The following is a 26,750-nucleotide window of genomic DNA, read 5'->3' as shown; positions in this document are numbered from 1 at the left end:
ACTTAAGATAATGAGATACATTTTCCTTTTAAAATAAATTGATTCCAGAAACAAAGAGTCAGTTGAATGTGAAGAAAAATTGCACTAGGTTAATAATAGAGCAGATAGGCTGGGGGTGTGGCAGAAATCCAAAAGATGGAAGGAGCCTCATGCCACAATGACTGTCAGCAAGTCTCGGGTGCTACAGTGTAGGGAGAACAGAACCTTGTCTTTGGTCAAGATTGTATGTCTGCACAGTCAGGCCAAGAAACATCAGCCCTGGTGCGGTGGTTAAGGCTGGAACCATCAAAGTGAGCCCCCACTCCAACCTGGAGATCACCGTAGAGATTCTGGTCCCAGCTCTGGGGCAGGGCCAGATGTGTGCATTTGTAGACACCTCCATAGATGGGGTTCTCGCCCATCCGGAGTTCCAGATAAGGACATGCAGTTAAGAGCACATCTAGGAGCTAGTTGTTTTTTTTTTTTTTTTTTTTTTTTGAAATCACAATGCATTCAGAGAAATTAGATGGACAAAAATGTTTACCACATCATTTTTATATGCGTAAATCATTGGAACACACCTACCTGCTCCACATTAAGATAAGAGTTAGTTATGAAATCCCTGGACAAAATATTGTATATCTATTCAAAATGATATATATGGGGAACTGTAGAGATGTAGAGAAACGTTTATGGTACAATGGAAGGTGGGGGGAATAGTAGACAAAATTGCATCTATAGCTTTATTTCAACTATGTAAAAGACATAGAAACAATTACAAGTAAACATGTTAGAGTGTTACTGGTTGTTATTTCTAGCTAAAGTGATTATGTGTCTTTCAAAAAATGTCTTTTTTTTTTTTTTTTACATTCTAAGCCTTCTTCTACAATTCTAAATGTTGACTATGCTCTCCCTTTCCTGTCAAATGACGAGCATCAATCAGACCTAATTAAAATCCTGTTTCTGTCTTGACTAATGTGAGACCTTGGAGAAGTCCTTAACTTTGTGATCCTCAGTTTCCCCCACTGAAAATTGGGAAGAGTTCCTTTCTCATGGGTTGCTGTGAGCAGTAAGTGAGATGATGCATGAGAGACACTTATGAGGGTGCCTAGCTCATAAGCCTCGGAAGAAATAGTACCTGCATAATAATAATGTTAATAATAATAATAATGTTATTGTTGTTATTGTTTTCCTCATTATTACTACTAGTGAATTTGAAAGGCATAACAATTTACTAAACCAAAGAGTCAAGCTGTAAAAAATGTAATTCTGAAGTTCCTCCCCTCTGCCTGTTGCATAAACACACGCAGGCATGCAGAGTGACATAAGTCAACAAATGCACATGTGCACACAGTCTTCTCTGGTGCTGCACACTCCCTGTGCTAGGAGTTTCCATATCCACAGGTTCAGGAACAAGAGGACAAGCTTCATCTGGTCCTCTTTGTCTACTATTTTGTCTACTATTCCCCCACCCCCCGCTGTCTTCTATTGTACCATAAACATTTCTCTACGGCTCTACAATTCCCCATATATATCATTTTGAATAGATATACAGTATTTTGTCTTGGGATTTCATAACTAACTCTTATCTTAATGTTGAGCAGGTGGGTATGTTCCAATCATTTGTGCATATAAACACTTCCTGAGGCATCTTTTATCTGTCAGACTCCTTGCTCAGCACACGCAACATTCTTTTTATTGTCTTTTTCTAAAAAAAATGAGGTAAAATTCACAGAACATAAAGTTAACCACTAGTCATTCTAAAGTGTACAATTTAGTGGTGTTTAAAACATTCACAGTGTTGTGCAACCATCGCCTCTATGTAGGTCCAAGACATTGCATCACAGCAAAAGGAAACTGTACCTATTCAGCAGTCACTCCCCATTTCCCCTTCCCCAATCCCCTGGCAGCCTCTAGTCTACTTTCTCTCTCTGCAACTTGGCTTTTAAATTTCTCTGCAGCCACACATAAAATTTAACCCTTATGTTTTCTTAGTTGTGCTCATTGAGCTTTTTCCCCTTTGCCATTTGGTTAAAGATCCTGTGAAATGAATAAGTGGACTGAATCCCCACTTCCTTGTTTGGAAATTTTAGGTTCTTTGCAATTGAAACCAAAATGTCTGTGTGAATTCATTTAAAAAGCAGATTTTCTTTTCCACAAAGGATTTGGGGCTGTTTGGGGCTTAATTATTATGTCAGGTGATCCAGCTTTAGTCCAGATGAGGACCCTTTGTAAGAAGCTTTGCCATGAGGGCAGCAGCTTCAGCGGAGGGTCAAGGTCCTTCTGAGCTGGGAGGCTGAAATGGAACACATGTGGCTCTGAGCCAGTGAAGTGCTTTCTTGGGACTGCCCTGCTGTCCAGGAACTGAAGCTGGGTTCAAATGCTGACTGTCATTCTCTGGGCATGTGACCATGGCCAAGCTAATACACATGATGAGCCTCAGTTTCTGCATCTTTGAAAGGGTGATCATTGTGAGTATTTTGCAGAGGATTAAATGAGATAAGACTGGTGAACCACCCCCACCACCCCCCTCAACCCCCCGGATTTTTTGGCCTCATAGCTTTGCTTCTATGCATGAAGTGCTGAATGCCATTTCTGGTACTGACTCAGATTCTTCATGTGCCAGTCTGGGTACTGACTTGTGGAGTGGATAGTGGTTGAGGGAAGACAACTGGGGGTGGGAGGAATGGGAGAATGTGAGTGTCGAGGGGTGGGCTACCTCTTGGGCACTGGCAATTACATGACAGTGGAACAGCATTGCAATTTAGTTTTGTGTTTTTCATTGTAACCCAACTGGCAACAGAACAGTGATGGGAGATGGAAAGGGTATCAAATTTGACTAGTGAGTTGCCCCTTTTGGTCCCTTCCTTAGAGTAAGCCTCAGTTTCTTCATCTGCAAAATGGAACTATCAGTGCCTTCTCTGACTACCTCGCAGAGTTGCTGTGAAGAAAAAGTGAGATAAAAATGTACCTGAAAGCATTTGTAAAATGTAAAGTGCTGTATAAATGTAACTGATTATTGTTTCATTTAAAAGACATGGTTTTGTTGATATCTCATGAAAAACAGTGCTAGTCCTCCCATTTAGTCATGGCGACAACCTTTTTGTCATAAATGTGCATGGGAGAATCGTTGGTTAGTAGGTGTTTTCCTTTATCCAAGTGGTCTGAGCTGGAAAATATGGAGAATTCCTTCACTAAAGGGCCATATCTTTTGACTCTATTGACAGCATGTCATGTGGAACTCAAAACTGCCTTCGTGAATGCAGATAGATTGCATCTATTAGCTGCCTCTTGTCATCATGACCTGCCAGAAGGGAAAATAAAATGTGCCTACAAATATTTCAATATTTATGTTGTGTGAAGGTTTAATATTCATTTGGAGCAGTGAATGGGGAAAGAGAAAAAAAAGTCCACATCCTTTACTTTGGAAATTGCTCAGTTCAACAAGAATTTATTGAGTACCTACTATGAGCTAGTGAGTGAATGATATGCTAGTGTCTACCAAAGAAAGACACCAAATTCTAATATTGACAACTTCATGTTTGCATACTTTGTCAGAAGCCTTGGAGAATCCCAAGGTCAGGAGTCTTTGCTCATTCCTATGGGGGAACTGATGAAATCTGCCCAGAGGTTGGGGAAGAGGGAAGTAGGTGAAATGGCTGCAGAGGAGAGGTGTTTGTAGTAAAATTGGGGAAGAGAGGAGAGTGGGAGGGGGTGGATCAGACCTCAGAAACACACTCCTACCTGTTAGGATGTAGGTGTGTGCTTGCACTTGTGGGTGGGACCAAGAGACAGGTGTCAGTAGCCTGGAGTTATAAAAACCAAAATGCATTGAATAATTGGATGGGAAACCACACATAAGAAAAGGACTCTTAGCAAGTGTATTTTTTCCAGCAATGCAAAAGTGAATTTACAAGCATATTGTTGTAGCTGTGAAGGGGCAAGCTCTACTAAAGGGATAGATGGTACATGAAAATAAGTTGTAAAATGTTGTTAATTGAAGAATATGTTGATAATTTGTGTCACTGATATTCAGTGTTTTGAATATGTTGTCATTGTCATTTCTCATTATGTAAAAATATAATAATTTTACAAGTTCACTGGTGACTTCATTCCCCTAACCCTATTTTTTCCCCAATAAGGTCCTAAATTCCTGAAGCCTGACTTCTCCTGCCCCAGGGGTTTTCAGAAACCTAACCCCCATGGTTGGCGAGGGACTGCTGTGTGTGAAATGGTAACTGCCCTCAAGGAGCTTACAATCTAGCTGGGGGTAAATGACTTGCACATGAACACAACTAGACTGTGAGCTTCTAGAGGGCAGGGACCTTACCCTAGTCATCTCTCTTCTCACCCTGCACACCCTCCCTGAGGGATCTCATCCATCCCCATGGCGTCAACCACCACCTGAGGACCCTCTAGGCCTGAATTGTCTCCTGAGTGCCACACCCAGCTCTCCAGCATCTTCAGTGTTCCTCCCCGGGTGGAATGCTCCACAGCACTGCCAACTCAACCTGCTCACCAAAACCCAGCTTGTCATATCTCCTCTGGGCCAGCCCTGGCTTCCAGGCTCCTGGACTTGGTCCCCCAGATCAAAGATCCAGGGGTCACTCATTTGGACTGAGCTTGATGGAAAAGTGCTTATGTTTCAATGTTAAGTAAACTGGGGAGCCTATCAAATGTATAGACATGATGAACTCATTGATGTTAAGTACATAGATGGAAAGAGAAATGCTTCAGAATGTATTAGTGGTTGCCTCTAATGGTAAAATAATGATTGACGTTTTCTTTTTCTGACACCCTTGTGCTTTCCAAATCTCCTGCAAAAAGTATTTATTACTTTTGTAACCAGCAAAAATGCCTAATAAAAATGATTGACAGGTCTCCATTTGAGTGTCACCTTTTCTGGGAATTATTGTTTATTCCTTTGCATCTCAAAGAGTCTGAGGCTCCGGGGTTAGACAGCCTCAGCACGTGTGCTTACCCTGTTGGGGAACTTGTTGCACTGTGTTCTTTCTGTAAATCGGCTCTTCCATTAGTCTGTGAGCTCCGAGAGGGCAGGAATCATGGTTATTCATCTCTCATTTCCAGTGCCTAGCACAAGGCTTGCATACATAACTGCTCAATACATGCTTGTTCTTTAAAGGAAGAGAGGGAGGGAAGGAGGCAGGAAAACAAAAAGGTGAAGGACACCAGAATTCTCAAATGTTATACCTCCATGGATCCCTTGTATTATTTCCTGTCCCCAAGATCCTTTGTTTATTAAGCTTTTGAATCTACTGTACCACTGATTTTTCACTCGGTAGTTTGAATTTTTCTGTTTTTTAGTAATCATAGGCCTTATAAATCCCAATCAGAGCTTCTCAGGGCCAAGTCTGGCATATGCCACCTGCTGTCCCAAGTCTGACTTGGGCAGAGTGCCCCCTGCCTGACACCTAGGTCATGGCATGCAGGGCTATCTCCAGTTCTCTGGAGCTGAGTGTACCTTCTGGAGCTTCTTTTAAAGTGGAACGATGGCAAACTGCAATGTCTGTGGGAGGAGGAGAGCAAGGGAACAGATAACATAAGAATAGAAGTGACAATTGCAAACTTCAATTGTGTGTTTCCTCTGTGCAGGCACTGTGCTATGCATCAACACGCACTGTCCCCTCAGCCCTCACAGCAGCTCTGTGACACAGGCACTATTACAATTGCCATTTTGTAAGCAAGGAAACTGAGGCTTAAAGATGCATTAGATGGGGAAACTGGAATTTGCACTGATTGCAGAGCTTAAGTCCAGCACTGCATCCCTCTTCTGAAGTTCCAGGAAGAGCACAGGGAGGAGAGGGCAAGAGAGATGCCTGTCAGGAGAAAGGAGCAGTGTTTGCAATTTCAGAGCCTTGTTTGGGGATGTGCCAGCATAGAGGAGTTTAGCCCCGAAGGCACAAAGCCCTTCACAAAGTCTGTGACACTCCTGAAGTTGTAGGCAATTTGTTCCAGGTATGTGCATTGTCTGGGAAGGTCTTCAAAGGAGTCTGTGTGGTTAAAAAAAAAAAAAATGGTTAAGGAAGCGGACCATGGAGCAGAAAGTTGCAGTGACTGGATTCTGGCTCCAGGCTGCAAATTTAACCATTGAATATCACCCAACAGGATGGATATGGGGATATGGTCTTGTTGATAAAGCATCTCCCTCACACAAGACTTGGAGAAATAATCCTGGAGGGTGTGTGTGTGTGTGTGTGTGTGTGTGTGTGTGTGTGTGTGTGTGTGGTGTGTGTTTATGTGTCTCCCAGGTATTTAGAATCAACTGATTACCAAATCAATCAACAAATATTTATTCTAGCAGAGACTTGATAGCTCTCTGGTTTGTCAGGGTTGTTTAAAGAAGGATTTCTGCCTTGGGTGGGAGTTTGGGCTAAAGAGATAATAATAATTACCATTTATTGAGTGTTGGTTGTGTGCCAGCCAACTCTGCTGGGCACTTTATATACATGATTCCACTTAATCCGCACAACAACACCGACAAGGAAGGTTTTATAACCCATTCTTTACAGAGAAGGAACTCAGAGGGTTTGAATATCTTGCCTAAGGTCATAGTAATTCAATCTGTGTAAGTAGAGGAGCCAAATTTGACTCTACGTCTGTTTCCAAGATTCCACATGTTTCTGTTTCTCTCTTTTTTTTTGATGTGAATGTATGTGTTTCCACCAGAACTAAGATCCATCAAGTTATCAAATTAATAAACAAATGTATTCAAGCAAGACTCGATGCCTGTTAATTAGCCAGGCTGTATTATAAGGGAGCCTTGCTTTGAGTAGCATCTTGGACAAGATCGCCTCCAAGTTCCTCTCTAATTTTAGGGTCTCCTCTCAAATTCCAAACAATCAGTTTTAAATTTTTCTGATAAAAACTTATTGCTCTCCCACTCCCCAGTTCTTCTTCCTTGGCTATGGTAGCAGGGACCACAATCTTTCTCTGCCTTCCTAACAGATTAGTCCTTGTCCATAAGCATTTCAAATAAGAAGAAAATACCCATGTAAATATGGGAAACAACTACTCATTTCAGCTGATTCTCCTTCCCCAGAGAAGAATATGGAACCAGTAGATTTCTGCTCATTGAAAGAGTTGGAACTCATATTCTGTGCCTGGTGGACTGGCTTGCCTTCAGGAAATTGCTCGCTAATCAGAGTGAGAAATGGCACAAAAAATGCTGGGAATCATTTGGGTGGGTGAGATCTGGGGCTGTCTTTATGTTTCTGCCTATGGAAAGTCATGATACAGGGTAGTTACAGTGACATCTCCCTGCTGAATAAATCCTGTTCTTTTGTAATGAAGCATGGCAGCCAGGCCTAGCACACTTCCCTCTGCACACCATCCTGCTCAGGCCTCTGTGCCTCGGCTGTGCTGTTCCTTCTGCTTGGAATGCATTCACTGTGTCCACTTAGCCAATTCCTACCTATTCTTCAAGCCTCAGTTCCAGTGTCCCCTCGAGGGCAGGCAGTGCTTTCCCATCTGCCCTAGGTCCACTCTACCAGCCTCTACTTGGGCCCCCAGCATACCTTATCTGTCTTCCATCTCCTCAGTTTAGAACCTAACACACTGTGGCACTCTTTTTTTTTTTTTTTTTTTTTTAAAGCATCTGACTATCTTCTATCACAGGGCCAGGTACTCAAAATATATTTATTGAATACAGTTGAATATATTCTGTGATCATCCCTGATCATGTTAAGTTCTATTGGGTCCATACTATTTAGTAGCCTAACCCAGGTAGGACTAAAACTAAGCCACTTGTTTGTGCAGCAGTTTCTGATTACAAGTGGTTTATATTCCTGTCCGCACTCAGTGAAGAGGAGCTACCACTGTTAGTATTTCCATAATGTGAATAGATGAGAAAACCAAAGCATAGAGAGGTTAGATGGTCTGCCCAGGGTCATGCAGTTTGTAAGTTGCAGTGGCCCACAGCCCAGCTCTCTCTCAGGACCCTGAGAGGTAAGGCTGGATGAACATTGCTGACTGTTAAAAGCACCTGACCACTGAGCCAGGTGAGATGCGCCCACCCCTACTTGTCTGCTGCTCCTGAAGATTCACAGGTAAATTGAGCCTCTTCTTATTGGATTCTATTTTGAACTCATGGTGCTGGGGGTTGTCCTAGATTAAAGGACACATGAGGTGGGGAGTTGCAAAGCATAGGAAAAAAAAAGTAAAGCACAGAATGTGTAGCAAACTTGGGCCGATGCTGCATTTTCTACCTTCTGTCTGCACTGGATTCCTTATAATTTGTCTTGCACAAATTGGGATAAATACAAACAAGCACACATATGTAAATTCATTCATTTAAAAAATAATCTTTCTGAACCTTAATTTTTCCTCGCTGGGAATGATAGTCTTTTGTGCAAGGATGTCACACAAATTTAATGAGAAAACTCATATAAATGGGCCTTGCATGGTGACAGAGCTGGCATTTCCAGACTGTTTTCCTTCTAACTTTCTACCATGCAACCTCTATTTGACAGTATCTGTGGACTGGTTTGCTGATTGCTCACAAGCCCCAGAAGAAAGGAGGGGGAAAAATCATACAAACTGCCCTAAGTTTTGGGCCACTCAGCAGCCAGCCCTCCCTAAAAATTCTGAGATAAGAGAAACATTGCCAATAGAAGTACTGTGATCCCCCAGACCTGAGTGCCCTTCCTGGCTTTTGCCTTCCTGGCTCACAAAGCCTCCTAACCCTTTGCATTCTCTACTTACTCTTATTCTGTATCTGGTTGCTGGGGTATCCTTCCTTTTTGACCATGAGTGGCAGTTACCTCTGGCCTGTAAAGGAATTATTCAGATGCCAAAAATTTGGAGATAGCCAGTTAACTCAGGAAATGGTATCCGGAGAAGAAGCAGGAGTGACACATCTTTGGGGTTCCTGGGTAGCCATGTAGCACATAGTTGGAGGGGGCAGGCTTTGAGTCACTCAGAACTGGGTTAGAATCCTGACTCTGTGGCTTACTGGTTTTCCAGCTTTGTTCCAGTTACTCAGTCCCCTGGGCTTCAGTTTCTTTACTTACAAAATGGGGATGTTAATAACAGTAATACCTATAACTATGGGGCTATGTTGAGGATGAAATAAAATGATGTATAAAAATCAATGAGAACACTGCCTGGTACATAGTGGGCTACCATGAATTTTCTGTCCTCAGCCATGACTAGCTGGAATGGCCTTTTCCTTCTTAGCTCCTGCTTTTCCTTGAATCTCATCCCTTTGAGTGTTCTGCCCTAACACGTCAAGCCAAATTCTGTGACTTCCTCTTCTGAGGCCCAGAGGTCTGCCATCTGACCTATAGAGTCCCTGCACCTGCGTCCTTGACTGGGTTCTGAAGCCCCCTTGACACAGTGCTCAGGAGAAACTCAAAGAGGAAATGAAAGGCAGAGTCCCTTGTATCAATGACAGCAGCCCAGGCTCCCTCAACCTTTGCCTTGGCAAACCGACTCAGACAGTATTTTCATTTGATTCTGTCTTTCTTGGCTTTGGTTGTGACTCATAAAGCTATTCAAGCCACTCTATTTTCTCTGCCCCTGAGAGACTAAATGGTCCTATGGAGTGTGAACCAGAGAGGAGAGAGGTCTTGGGAGACCCAGTGGCCACCATGCCTGAAGGTTAGAGGGGAGAACCATGCATGCGTCATACAAAAGAAAGGGAAGTGGACGCTTTGGCTTGGCCGCTGGAGCGCTATTATGCCTCTAGCCATTCCTTTGCCGGCCTCCCAATTATGGCTGCAATTTGGCAGCCATTTCCTTGCCCTGGGGTGGAAGGGGTCCCTGCAAAGGTATGAACAGTTGGGCTGCTTTGGGAGCCAGGAAGGCAGAAGTGACCATTTAGGTCTGGGGATCACAGGGCTTCTATTAAGAATGGTCCTGTTGTCTCAACTTTTAGGAGGGACTGAACCCTGAATGGCCCAATTTTGTGTGATATTTTTACCTCCTACTTTCTGGGACTTGCAATAATAAAGTAATTAGCAAACCAATCTATAGCTACTCCTTGAACAAGAACTAGATATAAAGCATGATACAAAGAACCATGAGAGATAAGAAGCTAGGATGGGGTAAGACACAAATTTAAAAAATGCCTAATTGGACCATACAGTGGGGGAGAATATTAAGACTCATACAGTTGGAGTGGTTGGAATTCTAAGAAGCCATTAGGCTGGTCAAGAAAAGCTTACAGAAGGATCAAGCTTTCATCTGAGTCTTAAAAATGTGTTGGCCATGAAGTACTAGAGATGGATGGGAAGAACATAGGCAGGGGGAAGGTCTGAGCAAAGGTGCATCCAGGAAAATAAATGCATGAGGACTTGATGTTTGTTGCACACCTGCTGAGAGCTAGACACTTGGTATGCCTACCAACTATAAACTAAGACTAATATTATTGCCTCCATTTTACAGATGAGTAAACTGAGGCCAAGGAGCTCCAACTAGCTCTTTGGCTGCTCAAGAACAGGGACAAATATGTCTTACTTATCTCTGTATCCTGAGTACAGAGTTCCAGAACAGGCCTCTGATAAATATTCACGGATATTAAAGGCCATAAAGCAGAGCCAGGATTCAAACTCAAAATCCCCCCAAGGCCTGTGTTATCCAGTTATTGGAGTGAGTATGAAAGTGTTTCTAAAAGAGGAGTGGGCAGTAAATGTCCAGAGAGGATTGAGGGGAATTCTGAGTAAAATCCAAGAGGTAGGACCTGATGCTATACCTTCTGGGAGCCATAGAAAGCCCCTGGGCTGAGTAATCCGATGCCTGTGGCCTTTTGGAACTTGGGCGAATTTGTCAACAACAACACGGAGCTGGTGACCGATTGAGTGGGTCATGTTTTATCCTCTTGCTGCATTTCCTCAGAGCACCCTGTATGCCCGGTCCTCTTCAGGAATGTGTTCCTGGTGGCAAGTTCTTGTCCAAAGTATCCTCCATCTAGACTGTGAACTCTGTGCAGTTAGGAATGGAGTCTGTGTGATTCACCCCTGGATCCTCAATGCCTGGCCCTGGAATATAGTAGGCACTCAACTATCACCTGATGTGTCAATTTTAGATAACGATGGTTGGTACCTATACAGATCATTTCCAGAGGCGTCTTGCTGACAGCAAGGGACTGGAAGGAAAATAGCTGATGTGAAGAGATGGCAGGAGATGTAGGAATTCAGGGAGGAATTAGTTGTTTTTTTCTCTGTGTTGCAACACTTGGCTCATCTGTTTGGGCACCTTCTCCCTGTCTTGATTGGCATATTAGCTTCCTACAGCTGCCATTGCAAAGTACCACAAATGGAATGGTTTAAAACAACAGAAATTTATTTTCTCACAGTTCTGGAAGCTAGAAGTCTGAAATCCAGGTGTTGGCAATGTTGGCTCCTTCTTGGGGGCTCCAGGGGTGGAATCTGTTCCATGCCTCTGTCTGGTTCCTGGCTTCTGGTGATTGTGACACTCCTTGGTGCTCCTTGGCTTGCAGCTGATAAGTCCAGTCTCTGCCTCCGCCCTCACATGGCTATCTTCTCTCTATATCTTCATGTCTTCACAGGGTGGTTTCCCCACTCTGTGTGCCTGCTTGTGTCTCCTCCTCTTCCTATAAGGACATCAGTCATACTGGATGAAGGGCCTACCCTATTCCATCAGGACTACACCTTAACTTACATCTTGATTACATTCACAAAGACCTTGTTTCTAAATAAGGTTGTATCCACAGGTACCAGAAATTAGGATTTCAATATAGCTTTTGGAGGAACATGATTCAACTCTCAGTAGTTCGTTATCACATATTAGTGTTAAACAAAATAATACCTCTATATGGTGTTTTATGGGTCATGCGACAGTGATGATTGCATTAAATTCTCACACTAACCCTAAGGGTAGCTGGCATAATCAGCCCTATTATATATTCTGAAACTGAGGTTCAAAAAGTGATTTGCTCAAAATTATACAGTGTAGAAGTGACAGAAGGAGGAGGACCTGAAGCTGGGACTTCCAACTCATATATTGTTCTCTCCCCTTGTGCTTCTGACCTTGGGAGCTGCTGGGATGCGGGGGTAGGCATGCCACCCTCCTCACATCCCCACAGGGCTCACAGGATGCTTGAGGAGAACCAGGTGCTCTGTAAATACTTGTTGGCTTGAATTGCATTCAGAAGCTCACCCTTGCTCTGGAGAGAACCTTCAAGGGTAGCAAACAATGACTTTTACTGAACATGTCAGAGAGTGTAAGCCAAATTTTGAGAGAACTAGGGTTTAGTGAGTCTGTGGGCATTTCCGCAGGTGAGGTGTTGAATTCACTGTACCTCATTCCAAGCTGCGGGGAGCCAGGGTTCAATTCTCACTTTCTTCCTTTCAGAGAACAAGCCTGAGGCCCCTGCCAAGGCTTCTTCTCCCCTCTCGTCTGCTCCCCTCCCTCCTTCAGTGTCACCCTCTTCCTCCAGGCCTGTTCTTACTCTGATGCATCCTCCAACCCCCCACTGCCAGAGCCAGACAGCCATCTGCTCCTCACTCCCCCGTGTCTCCGATGGCCCCAGGGCAAAGTCCAGACTCCTGCTGACTGTAGCACGCACTGCATCCTCTGGCAGCACCACCTATTGGAACACACCCTCACATTTGTGTATGACACAAATTGTGAAACACACCGAGTCCCTTCAGTAAGACTTGGCTCTTCAGTGGTGCCCATATGCATCGTGGAGTGCCCGCCTCTGCTCCTCTGGGCAAGCTTTCTGAAATCCCTGTTTCCTCAGCCTGCCTTTTTTGCATTTCAATCTCATTTGCCATTGTTAAAATAAAGGAGCTGACCAGAGGGCTGACGCAGTCCCATCAGTTTAAGACTTCAGAAGTGGGAAACAGCAGGTGTGCTTTTGCCCCTTGTTAGGCTATAAGAAGCCACTCTGACAGCCACTGAGGACTGAAGGATGGCTTTGCTGTTGTCCCATTTTGTCTTTAAAAGCATCCTGTGAAGGTGCTAGGATTAACTTAGTGTGAAGATGAGGAAACGGAGACCCAGAGAGATATCTGTCTAGGAACTTGCCCAACGAGCTGAGTTTGAATATCGCTTCCACCAGCTGCCAGTCATGTAGTTTTGGGCAAATTTCTTGATCTCGGAGCCTCTTCTTTTTTAACAGGAGGATCTCTGAGACTCCTCTTATATTCCACAAGGCTGTTTTGAGGTCTAAACCCAGTAATCTACCTGGCATACAGTAAGCACTCAGTTGACTGTAGCTGGATTTCAGAGTGGAAAGAAGGGAAAACCGTGACAGAAAAATAGCTACAAGGAAAAGAGGTTAGGAGCCTGGAGGGTGCAGAAGAGGCACGAAAAGGGGAGTTATCAGGCACTGTGGGGGGTTTGGGAAATGACACTAGGGCCTGATAGTGCTCAATATTTGGTGTCCAAGATAGGAGCCAAAATGGATTTCTCACTAAATTCTTAGTTGTGTCTTCACTCCCTTGCTGTATGTGGATCACTCTGTCCCTTCGGAATGTTAACATGCTGGGAAATTCATGTGTCATTTTGGTCAAACGGAGAGAAAGGGAGAGACAAAGGTCAGGATGGGTGACTGAAGCAGCCCAAGAAAGAAAACATGTTTAGGAAGACCTTAAACCCTACGTCATGCTTTATAAGTCTGGAAGATGACATTCAGAGGGGCTCTGTAGCTTGCCCAGAGTTGCACAGCAAGTAGATAGCAGAGATTAGGACACCTGTTTCCCAGGACCTATTTATCCCTGCTGTGTCACAGCGATGCAGGACAGAAGGGGCAGGGCCCAGGCAGCCCAATCTGGGAAGCCGGGACCTGTGGTTGATTGCCTATATCCTGGTTTCCTTACCCCAAATCCTTGTGATCCAGGAGCACACAAAGAAACATGTGGGTGTATATTCTCCCTGCGACTTTCCTTTTCTAAAGGGACTTTCACTAGCAAGCAACCCAGCCATCCTGGCTGCTAATGTAACCTGTCACTTCAATGCCCCAAGGCCATCAGCAATTCACAACGTGCGTATCTCCTAATTAGCCAATGAAGTAACTGTTCCATTTCCCTTGCTCCCTCTGCCTCCAAGTTCACAATATGTTCTCTCCTGCTCAGCTTCAGCTCATGTCTTCTGTTTCTGCCCAGAACTTCCCTGTGAGCAAACATCATAAGGAAAGGGTTATCTTGGGATGTAAGACAGGGGATTAAGGTTTCCGCTCTGAGACCCAGCTCCATCTCCAAACCCATCCTTCAGAGTTCCTGGGGCTAAGCCACTGTGGATGTTGGCTGTCCTTGACCTCAGAACTGGATTTTTCTGTCTGAGAACAGGCTGATGGAGTCTGTGTTGGTTATAAGTAAATGTTTTCTGTAATATCAACTGCATGAAAGAGGAAAGCCAATTTTATTTCTTGGATCCCAATAATATATTGATTTTTTTTTCAAAGGGAAATAAAAAATCATTTGGCTATGCCAAACCAATTTTCTGTATCTTTTGGTGGAGGGGAACAATAGGAGTGCTCACAGCTGTCCCATAGAAATAATAAATGCATGTCCACAGTCCATCATTGAAAGCCCTTGGGGTGAGGTGTGTTTCAGAATTTGGTTTGTTTTTAGATTTTTGAAAGGAAATAGGGTGCATATACTGTATATTATGTGATACGTCTGAGGCTGTGCTCCATAATCAAAGCCATTAATTTCTCTGCAGCAAAATGTATGATTGTACACACTAAGTAGGAAAGATAAAGACAGTAAATAGCTTCACATTACTTCATGTCAGGTTTTTCACCCAATGAGTTATAAAAAAAACCCAACCTTTTGGTTTTAGAATTTTTTGAGTGTCAGGATTGATAAGGGCCTGTGGCTCTCTGATTAATATTTGCTACTTTACTATATAAATTCATAGAGAGATGAAGATTGCCTGTATGAGACTGCATAAATCAATTTTCAGTAGTTCCCAAAGACATGTGGACCTCAGGTACCCTAGGGGAGCCTGGTTCCACTTGGCATCCCACAGGCTAGCACAGATCAGGCCCTGAGGAAGGAACTGAGAAACATTGGGTGAGTAAATGCATCTGCAGGCTCACTGTTGGCACAAGGTCTGTTGGGTCCCAGGAACTGGCCTACTGTTGAAATTATGATGGAAAAAAAAAAGGAACTATAAAACAATAGCAATAGCTCACCCTTGTAGAACTCTTACTATTGCCAGGCATTGTTCCAAATGCCCTACATATTTTAACTCACTGAATTTTCATGACTACACTATCAGGTGGCAACTATTTTTAGAAATGACTCCCCCAAGTTCACATAGTAAGTGGCAGAGCCGGGCTTGGCACCCCAGCATTTTGGCTTCTGAGTTCACACTTTTAATGACGCTGCCTCTTATGTAAAAACCATGTCCACTAAAGCCAGGCTCAAGCAAACAAGAGTTAGACTGGCAAGAATGAACCTCCTTAATAAAATAATATGCATTATTGAATACATACTGTGTGCTAGGCTCTATACTCAGCTCTTTGTATTATTCTACTTAAGCCTCTAAATAACTATATAAAGTAGAGTTTCATCCCCCACTTCCCAGGTGAAGGACCTGAGGCTCAGCAGTGGAGGACATGTGGGGCAGGATTCAAACCCAGGACACATTGGCCTGGAGCCAAGGATCTTGGAGTGAGGTCACAGATACTGGCCTTCAGGAGCTTACATGGAAGCCCAGGGACTAATGTGGCATTCTGAGAACAGCTGGAGCCAGACCGATCTCTAGGTTATATGCCAGCATGTTGAGGAGGACTAGAAAGACTCTGAATCGGCCTCTCTTTCCTGACCCTGTATTCTTGGTTAGTTTCACTTTCTCTGTGGGCCCCAGCTTCTGAAAAATGAGGATAGCAGTACCTGCCCTGACTGTTATAGTGGGTGATACTTGTGATTCAGGGAGCTAAAGGATATTAAAGCACAATTTGGTTCTTTCTGTTCTCTTGTCTATGCACAGAGGTGCCAGGAAGGGAACTATATCCAAGTACTGTAGAGAGCAAATGGCGTCTTTTGGAAGAAGAGCAGAAGGGGAAGGGACTCTAGCCCTTTCCCATTAACTGTGCTGGCACAGGCCTTGGAGTACCCCTCCCCCAAGACAAGGAAGGGATGGTGCTGGTGGCTCTGTCTGGTCTTTGGTGGTCCCAAGAAGGTCTCCTGGACCCCTCTCTTGCCCTGACCTCCTATGCCCATTGGCTGCCAAGCCCTGCACTATTTCCTCTTCCTTTAACCTCTGAGGTCTGCATTTCCCACCCCACCTTCATTCCACTGCTCTGTATTAGGCCTCACCTGCCCAAGCCAAGACTAAACGATGGCTGCTTCCCTGGCCTCCCTGTCCCCAGTCTCTCTTCCTCAAATCTATCCCCACACAGCTGCCAGAGTCCTCCTCTTAACAAAAACCCACCATGTTACTTTTCCATCAACTATAGCAGGAGTCAGCAAACGTTTTCTGGAAAGGGCCAGGTAGTAAATATTTTAGGCTTTACAATCCAAGGGGTGAAATTGAGTCTACTATGTGAGTACTTACCTAATAAGAGAGAAAACACATTTCACAAATCTGTATTGATGACATTCAAAATATAATAATAATTGAGTACTTTTTTGTGACACAGGTCTACTGATGGGAGAAATGGAACTTCTTTTTGTGGGGGATAACATTTTGCCTAATTGGAGTTCAAATTGGAGTTTGCTTAATTGGAGTTCATGCTCCCTACAATGAAATTGATTGCAAATATTGATCTGTAAAAACCATTCTTAGTTCTCAGGCCATACAGAAATGGATTTGGCCTGAGGCCCATAGTTTGCAGATGCCTGGACTATAGCAATGCTTCTCAACATTGGCTGCATGCTGGAATCACCTAGGGTGCTTCTAAGAAACACTGATGATGGGACTCGGGGCCTAGGCCCATTAAACACTTATCTCTGTGCTGGGCACAGTGGCTCACACCTGTAATCCCAGCATTTTGGGAGGCCAAGGCAGAAGGATTGCTTGAGGCCAGGAGTTTGAAACCAGACTGGTCAACATAGCAAGACCCTTGTCTACAAAAAAAAATTAAAAATTAGTCAAGCGTGGTGGCACATGCCTATAATCTCAGCTACTCAGGAGACTGAGGCAGGAGGATGGCTTGAACCCAGGAAGTCAAGGCTGCAGTGAGCCATGATTTTACCACTGCACTCCAGCCTGGGGGATGGAGTGAGACCTTCTCAAACAAACAAACAAACAGACTAAAAAAACCCCACTCGTCTCTGGGCATGAGGGCAAGATATCAGTATGATTTGAAAGATGCTTCATAATTCTGACCTGCAGCCAGTACTGAGCACTGCTGGCCTACAGGACAGAGGCCAAGAACCTTCCCTGATCTGGTGCTGCCAACCTCTCCAACCTCTTTTCCTGGCTCTTCTTGTGTCCAGCCTTTGTCCAGTAACACCAAGTGGTACTTTCTTATTTCTGGGTTTGGCTCACACTGTTCCCTCTGGGAATGCACACATCCCAGTTTTCCTCCATTAAGCTTTAGCTCCGGTGTCCTCCTCTTCTCCAGGAAGATGCCCTCTCCTCTCCAGTTTTGGAGTCACTTGTATTTTGTCATGCTTTAGCATGCCACACTGTGCATGGAATTGCTCATTTACCTCTTGGAACCCTCCATGACTGTGAGCTCCATGAGGGCAGTGGCCACATCTCATTCTTCTTGGATGCTTTATAGCTGGCATCCCATCGAGTGGTGCTCAGTAAACATTTGCCAGAGGAATAAAGGGATTAGGCACAAACTAAGTAGCCTGGGAGGAACTCCTGCCTGTGTGCACGAGGCCCCACTCTTACGCCCAAAGGAGCCAGATCTAGTGGGGGTGGGAATGAAGGTATGGCAGGCAGTGGTTTGTTTCCTATTCCTGGTACAATAATCACCAGTTTATTTTCTGGGAATCTCATGTTTTCTGTAACTTGCATTTTCTCACATTGTGACTTGGCACTTGTAAAGCAACAAAGTGGTTTCCCTTGAATTTTTTGGTTTTTTGTTTTGTTTTGTTTTTGGTCTGTGAAGAATTTTGCTGCTGAAAAACTGAGTCCCTGTGTGGTTAAAAGGAAAGAAAGTATGGTTGCTATATTGGCATGCAGCATCCCACTGCATTCTTTCTGTAATTTTAGTGCAGTCCCCACTGTCACTGTTTCTGAACCAGCCTTGCTCTGGGGTCGATCCTTGTGTTGAACTCACATCTCTGTTGCTGGGGCCCAGGCCTGGCTCTAACCTCAGTGAAGGTGGCAACTGTCTCCTTCCATATAGAAACTCCCAGAACATTTCAAGACTATTTGTGAAAGGCCCTGTACCACCTTTCACACTCAAAACATCTTCTGTTTATTCAAGTTTTGAGTTTCTTTGTTTATTTTGTTTTATTTTCTGAGACAGGGTCTTATTGTCACCCAGGCATGATCATGGCTGACTGCAGCCCCAGCCTCTTGGGCTCAAGCAATCCTTCCACCTCAGCCACACAAGGAGCTGGGACCACAAGCACATGCCACCACACCTGGCTAATTTTTGTATTATTTCTAGAGATGGAGTTTCACCATGTTGCCCGGGCTGGTCTCGAACTCCTGGGCTTAAGTGATCCACCTGCCTTGGCCTCCCAAAGTGCTGGGATTACAGGCATGAGCCACCACACCCAGCCTGTTTGTTTATTTTCTAATGTTCATAAGGGGAAGAGACTAGGTCTCAGGTCATAAGAGGATATTAGAGAGTTTCAATAGGGTAGGGAAGGGAAGGGAAGGGAAGTGAAACTCATTTATGAAGTACATGCTATGTGTGTTCCATATGTAAGTGTGGGTACAAGCTTCCCCCACTGTCATCCTGCAACAACCTTGCAATATATGTGGTATTATACTTCCAACTATTACAGAAGAGGAAACAATGCTGGGTAGATTAAATGCCTTGCCCAAGGTCATACACAGTTAAAAGGTGGAACAGCCAAGTTTGTGTGTATAAACTTTTTATGGACATAATATAGCATAAAGAAAACTGCCCAACTCCTAAGTGTATAGCTCAGTGGATTTTTCATAAAATTAACATACCAATGTAACCAGAACTTTAAATAGAACATGAAATAGAATGTGATCCCCCCTCCCAGTCTCTATCTTTCCCCTTACTTCTTGCAAAGTTAACTGCTATCCAGACTTAGAATACTATAGATTTGGTTGGCCCATTTTATAATTTAATGTATATGGAGTCACAGAGCATATACTCTTTTTTGTCTGCTCCTTTTACTCAACATTGTGTTTGTGAGATTTATCCACGTTGCTCCATAGAGTCGGAGTTTATTCATTTCATTGCTGCATAGTATTGCCGTTTGTGAGTATACATAATCTATTTATTCACTCTGCTCTTGCTGGACATTCGGTTACTTTCTAGTTTGGGGCTGTTACAAATGGTGCTTCGGTGAACATTCTTATGCATGTCTTTTGGTACTAATTTGGTCTTGGGGTGGAGTTTCTGGGTTATAGGATATGTATCTGTTCTGATTTAGTAAGTACTGCCAATTTTCCAAAGTGATTGTAGCAAATACCCAGAAGTGCATGAGAGTTCTGATATTTTTGCTCACTAAAAAAATAAAAAAAAATTTTTTTGCTCACTTAAAAAAAAAAAAATGAACTCAACGGCCGTGTTCATTTTAGCTATTCTGGTGGTTGTATGGTTGTGTCTCATTATGGTTTAACTTGCACTTCCCTAGTATCTACTGAAATAGGGCACCTTTTCATGTGTTTACTGGCCATTTGGATGTCTTCTTTTGTGAAATGCCTGTTCAAGTCTTTTTTCCAGATCAGGTTGTCTGCTTTTTTCTTAATTATTTGTGGGAATTCTTTATATATTCTGGCATCAGTCATTTGCCAGATATTGTTAATATCTTCTCCCATTCTGTGGCCTTTTTATTATCTCAGTGGTGTCATTTGGTGAAGATAAGTTCCTAATTTTAATGAAATTCAGTTTATTAACCTTTTTCCTTTTTGATTAGCACATTTTATGTCTTGTTTAAGAAAGCTTTGCCTGCTGCAAGGTCAAGAAGACATTCTACATTTTCTTGCAAAATCTTTATTGTTTTACCATTTAGATTTAGGTTTGTGGCCCATTTGGAATTGATTTTTGTGTGAAGTATGAAATCGTGATCAAGGTTCATTGTTTTGCATATGGATAACCAATAGACCTAACAACGTCTATTGTAAAGACCACTCTTTCCCCACGGTACCACAGGGTCACCTTTGCCATAGATCAGGTGGCTGATCATTTGTGGGTCTGCTTCTGGACTCCTGCAGTTAAAGTTTCAGGCCAGGGCTATCTGATTCTAAAGTGTATCTTCTTTTCATTATTCTATAATAGAAAGAATTTGAGTAAATGATTTTGGAACAATCTAAGGATGAAAGAACATAATATGCTGTTTTTTTGAGGGGGATTGTTCTGTGCTGTTTAATAGAGACACAACAGGTACTCAAAGTCTCAAATGGCAAGTGGGGTTTGGAGGGTGCAGGTGTGTGGTAACTTGGAGGGAGGAGGGGCACAGGGATCCTGTGTCCACAGACTAAGAGAGATGGTGTTAGGAAAAGTGCTGCCAACAGGCTGAAACTGTGAACCAGGACCTTTGAAAAGCTCTGGGGATTCCCAAAGGATAGGGGAAAAATATGTTTTTCATGGAATAACATGGATAAATCTCACAAATCTTTCTATATTTTCTATAGCTGTAAAGTAAAGCAAATTTACTTTAGAAAAGGGGTTATTTTTTGAATAAGAATTTGTAACAGTTAGATTTTAATGAGGGTACATAATTTGTAATTAGGCATTATTCGCTCTTCAAAATCTTGTTCTAACTGGGTAATTAATTGCATTTTTGATTATAGAAGTTAATCCATATATACTCTCATCTTAACAGGGGATTACTTTTTTGTAGATGAGGCACAAATAGAGGGTTTAATAACCTAGCTTCTTTCAGTCTTCTATGATTGAAAAATCTCCCGATCTAAAATATGTGATCTGAATGAACATTATTGACCATCTGGTGGAAATTACCCAAAATGTTGACAGTGAACTTAGATTAGTGGTTCTCAATCTTGGCTGCACACCATGAAGGGAACTTTGAAAAAAATACTGATGCTTGGGTGACAGCCCCAGAGGTTCTGATTTGATTGGTCTTGGCAGCAATCTGGGCATCTGGATTCTTAAAAGCCCTTTAGGTGTTTATAACGTGGATCCAAGGTGAAAGCCACTGGCCTAGAGAGAGTTAATTCACTCTCATGGAACTAGCCTTTCTTTCTCTCCAATGCCACTTTGGGCTGCAACCCTATGTTGTGCAGCCCACATCATTGCTCGGTGACCACAGGCTTTAGAATGTGCAGTGATTTTTCATGAAAGGGTGGCTCCTGACCATCCATTTTATTTTATTTTATTTTATTTTATTTTATTTTATTTTAATTTTATTTTTTGAGACGGAGTCTTGCTCTGTTGCCCAGGCTGGAGTGCAGTGGTGCCATCTCGGCTCACTGCAACTTCTGCCTCCTGGGTTTAAGAGATTCTCCTGCCTTAGCCTCCCGAGTAGCTTGGATTATAGGCACCTGCCACTACTCCCAGCTAATTTTTATATTTTTAGTAGAGACAGGGTTTCATCATGTTGGCCAGGCTGGTCTTGAACTCCTGACCTCAAGTGATTTGCCCACCTCAGCCTCCCAAAGTGCTGGGATTACAGGCGTGAGCCACTGCGTGCTCCGAGTTTTGTGGGTTATTGTTAAGCTGACCATCCATTTTAATGCCTCACTGTGCAGGTGGGAAATCCGAGAGTCAGAAGGAAGAAGTAGTTTGTGCATGTTCATACAGCAGGTGAGTCAGTGATAGACTGGGACTGAAATTCAACCCCCCCGCATCTCAGACCAGGAGCTCAGAATCTGGCACGGTCAGCAGAGGGGTGAGGATGATGAGCAGCATGGGGAAGTGGGTGTCCCTGACTGGAGGGAAGGACACCAAATGGGGATGCTCTGAAGCCCACAGATCAAGTGCGAGGCTGGACGCAGACCAGGTGCTCCATGACTGTTGTTGAATGAAAACAAGAAGCATGCCTGCACAGCATCGTGTTATTACTATCAATGTTACTCTTCATTTCGCAAAAGAAATACTGATTAGGTCCTATTGAGGAAAATGAAGGAATTGTATGGATTCAGGCCCTCTGCTATGTTCAGTTTCTATTCATTCCTCCACAAGCTGGGTCTAAAACACTGTAAATTAACACTGCTGTGGCACTGAATGAAATTCCTGGTCATCAGGCTGGCATGTGTGCCTGTCTGTCTGGCTGGCTATTTGGCTGGCTGGCTGGTTAGCTGTGTTCTAGCAGATGAACCCATGGGGAAGAAAGGAAGGGGGGGCAGGTTATCTTGATTCTAGTGCAGAAGGTTTCCTTGGTTGCTTCATAGAAATATGGGGCTCAATATTCTGGCAGTGCTGAAGGGCAGGGACGTGCCTTATGTGAACATTCATTTCTGTGCCGTGGTTTCTTGTTCAAGGCTTGACACACAGAAAGCAGGGCAGGTTTGGTGCATGAATGATGAATTGAAAAATCTCTATTATTCTAATATTTTGTTGATCAAGGATGTCAGTAATGTGGTGTTTTGTTTTAGACTACAGTAAAAAAATAGAAACACATGTATATATAGTGGGGAGTGGGAGGGGTCAAGAGGAGAGAGAAACAGGATCAGGAGCTCCCCACCGGCCATGAGCACCCTCCCTGGCCCACAGCTTGCATCTCCAGCACCCACACCTGGCACAGAACATGAAGACACACCAGTGAGGTGGTGATTGAGCAGGTTTACTCCTTACTGAGTTTGTGGCCATGGGCCTGAAATATCGCAGCTCCCTTCCTGATTTGCTTCTTGTCAGATTCTCATCAGAAAATAGAATTCATCCCAGATGGTCCAAATAAAGAGACTTGAATGAAGGAAGTGTTTTGTGGAAGTGGAGCAGTCAGGGTTAAGGGAACAAATAAGAGATGTTGAGGGCACCTGGGGGTGGAACCAAACCACCCAGGTCTAAAGGGGCAAGGCAAGGAGAGAAAGTGGTATTTCTGAAGCCAAAAGAGAGCAAGGCCTGATGGAGAGGCTGCTGTGGGCAGGAGCTGGCATTGTAGTGCTAGGCAGCACTGAAGCAAGGCGGAGGCAAGGCTCTTCCCCTCCTGCCCTCCCCTCTCCTGCTAGTGCTTTCTGTTGGCCAAAGCCAGTGAGGGGTGGCCAGAAAGGGGACTCAGAGGGTACACCTACTTGACCAGCCTCCTGGGCACAGAGCAGGGCAGAAAGGCAGAAGATGGATGGCGGGGCCAGGGTGCAGTTGGAGAAGCCACAGCACACTCATGAAGGGAAGGGTCTGTAGGGGCAGAGGGAGACCCAGGAGGCCACAGGCAGAGCGTGCCTGCTCGCAGCCCCTGGGGGCTGTGTGCTTCAGGGAAGTAATTAATACCATATCCAGGAATCTCATCCCTGGACCCATAATTACATGTACAGGAATTTTTTAAAGGGTTGATGGCAGTGGTTTTAATGTCTCATAAATATTCTTCCAAGGATTCTCCCCATAGAGAGGAGTGGTTTCATTTCTCAGGCTTGAAGCCAGCTCTGAGCCTTTGAAGAAGAGGCTCCCAGCCTCTTCTCGGGAAACAAATCTCACGGTAGCACCCCTTCCCCAGTGTCCTCCTCCCCCTCCCTACCCTCCATCCCTTCTCCCTGCTTCACTGAGGACTCAGGTCTCCATGTTTACAAGATGCTCTGGACTTCATAATTGCTTGGATTCTGCCACATAGGAGGCTTCCTTCAGGAAGTATTCCAGGATTGCTGCCAGTAGAGTTCCTGAGGCTGATCTCTGCAGGGCATGGGGGATTGCAGATGCTGGTAAAAACTTTCTTGAGAACTCCATGTTTGCTCATTTTGACTAAATTCTGGACTGAGAGTGGCATGTACATAAGTAGGAGGCTTTCATTCCACCGAAAGCGAAGCCTGCACAAGGCAGAGGAAAAGAAACACAAGACAGAAGGAACAAAAGAGCATGTGTCTGAAGCCCCCAGGTTAAGGAAGGGTGTTCACAGAGACCACCACCTCTAATCCCCAGAGAACCCTCTGGCACGGCCACTGCCAATTCCCTCAGTTGATTTGGCTCAGGTGTGGCTGGCTGAAGGCTGCCCGGCCAGACGAGTTACATTTGAATCTTGGCCCTCCCCCTAATGAGCTGTGTGTCCTTGGGCAACTCCCTGTACCTATCTGATTTGCTATTTTCTCCTTCGGAAAATTGTGTTGTAATTATGTCTAAGTTGAGATAATTTATGCAAAAATATTCTACCACCATATCTGGCACGTGCCAAATGCTCCCTAAATGTGACCTAGTTTGAAACCCCACCTTGGAATGAACCAAAGCCTGGACCCTCTTGTTGTCATTGAAATTTGTGTATAGCCCGTCCATTGTCAAGGCCTGTTCAAGGAAGAGCAGTGTGGTGTGTGGGCTCTGGAACAGGACGGCCTTGGTCCAGATCCTGCCTCTGCCACTTACTCACTGTGTGGTCTGAGGGAAATCACCTAACCTCTCTGGTCCTCAATTTTCTCACCTGGAGATAACATGAGTACTGACTTCATATGGCTGTCAGGAGGAACATATGAAATAGTGAATGCTCAGAGCTTTGTACCGTGCCAAACAGCGCTCAAGTGAACGTCGGATATCACAGTACTCCTTGAACCCATCCAATTCAAATATCCCAATGCTTACTGACTCACTGTCTACCTTGCACACTAGATGGGCTGCTCATTTGCACCCTAATACCTGGCCCCAAATTCGGTCCAGAGTTTAATGAACTCAATTCGGTCAACGGGTTGAATGAACGCTTGAGTGGTGAGCAAACGTTGGGGACTCTTGAAACACAGGGCTAGGTCCTGTGTGTTAGCCACTGCAGAAGCCATGGTTACAACAGACAAGGAGCCTTGGAGCATTTTAGAAACCTGATGCATTTAGAAAGCTGTGCACACTGGTTCTTTCCTCCTGGATTTTTTTTTTTTTTCCAGGCCATTTGAGCTGTGGGACATAATTGCATCATTGGCTATAAAGACTGCTTTCCTGAGGGGGTACTTGTTTAGAAGTTCCAGGCCGGACTTGGCTACCCTTGATTGACCACTTGAGAAGCCTGATAATGGCAGGGAATTGGGCTACCTGGGGAGCACTGTTGCCAAGGAAAAAAGCAAGCTGGTGTAGCAAGGAGGTCAGAAGGGCTATCTGACCTGCACGGATCATGCACTCAAGAGTCAGGGCTACAAGGAGCCTGCCAGAGGCCTCGGAGGATCTAGAGAGGCCTGTTGTGTTCTAGGCTCCTGCATTTGGGGCCTTAGTGTGAGTTATCTCCACTAATCCTCCAAGAATTCTACAGGGAAGTTATTCTCATTCTCACCAGACAGTTGAGAAACCAAGATTGAGAATGGCTTATGGTCACACAGCCCCAAGCCTTACTACACAGCCTCTATTCTTCGATCTTCCTTACAAAGCTTCTGGCTTGGTTTTCCAGTCTGCACATCCAGGAACCTCCAACATTCAATTCTGAGTAATGGTTCTATTGCCTTTCCGTAAGAATGAAACGAATTTGATGAACATTTCCCAAAATCTGTTTCCTGGAACAAGCATCCTTGGAGTGCTTGGCTACAAAAGCGTTCTGTGATTAAACACATTTGGGAAATTCCCCTCCTTCTTGGAGGTTCACAGTGTGCATTCCCAAGTTCAAGATTCTGAGAAGTCCTGCAGTAAAGAAGCTATAATAAGCCAGCTTTTCCCAAGCTTATGCGACAAGGAATCTTTGCTTTGTTAATGCTTATTAACATCCTACAGAGCCAAATGACTCTTCAGTAAACACTGAAATAGATCAATCAGCCTGTTCCCAAGACCTGACTCAGCAAGTGGGCCCCCAAGGATGGAGATTCTCCCATGATACCACCCCAGTCCCTGAAATAGCATTGGATTCCCGCCTCCAGCATTCAGAAGCATAGTGCAGCCTTGTGTTGTCATTCATTCTCTTCCTCTCTTCTTTTTTTTTTTCCCTACACTGTCTTGATGTGGAAAATGCCCATGTGTGCCACTCCCAAGAACTATTGATAACTTATGAGAAATCTTGAAGGCAAACAAAAGGTGTTTAGACAATCTTGCTTTGCTTTTCTCATTCAACATTTGCTGCATTTCTGGAGATGTTGCCATCACACCTCCTTTTATAAAAGGACATTGGGAGGCTCATAGCTGCATGTGTTGGGGGAAGGAGGTTCTGTAGACAGAGAACAATTGTCCTGCTTCTCTCTGCCCCACCAGCCCTGCCCTCACTTTCACCCCCATTATTGACTGCCCCGTGGAGACAGAAAAGGGCTGAAGAGCAGACGAAAGTGGCTGGAACTCAACATGTCTAAAGCAGAGCTCTTGATCCCCCAGCCCCTGACAAGCCAGTCTCTCCCTCAGCTAATCCCCATCTGTAAACAGCACCACCATTAGCCCCGTTCCTCAAGCCTAAACCCTAGAAGCTGTCTCATTTTTCCTCTCCCTCACCACCCTCAGCCCATCCATTGTCCAGGCCTGTTCAAGGAAGAGCAGTGTGGTGTATGGGCTCTGGAACAGGATGGCCTTGGTCCAGATCCTGCCTCTGCCACTTACTCACTGTGTGGTCTGAGGGAAATCACCTAACCTCTCTGGTCCTTAATTTTCTCACCTGGAGATAACATGAGCACTGACTTCATATGGCTGTCAGAAGGAGCATATAAAATAGTGGATGCTCAGTGCTTTGTACAGT

At 44.2% G+C, this 26,750-nt stretch overlaps 1 protein-coding gene and 1 non-coding gene across 6 annotated transcripts in view; both read left to right on the top strand.

Annotated features, from left to right (window-relative positions):
- Nucleotides 1–26,750, top strand: part of TENM4 (teneurin transmembrane protein 4) — a 788,202-nt gene that overhangs the window by 34,706 nt on the left and 726,746 nt on the right. The gene's annotated exons all lie outside the window — the stretch shown is intronic.
- Nucleotides 4,216–4,303, top strand: MIR708 (microRNA 708). The gene has a single exon (NR_030598.1). It is a non-coding gene; the product is annotated as a microRNA 708 (primary transcript).

This window comes from Homo sapiens, chromosome 11, assembly GCF_000001405.40.
Source record: "Homo sapiens chromosome 11, GRCh38.p14 Primary Assembly".
Classification (NCBI taxonomy): domain Eukaryota; kingdom Metazoa; phylum Chordata; class Mammalia; order Primates; family Hominidae; genus Homo; species Homo sapiens.
The sequence above is the reverse complement of the archived record's forward strand: the minus strand, read 5'-3'. Positions and strand labels throughout refer to the sequence as shown.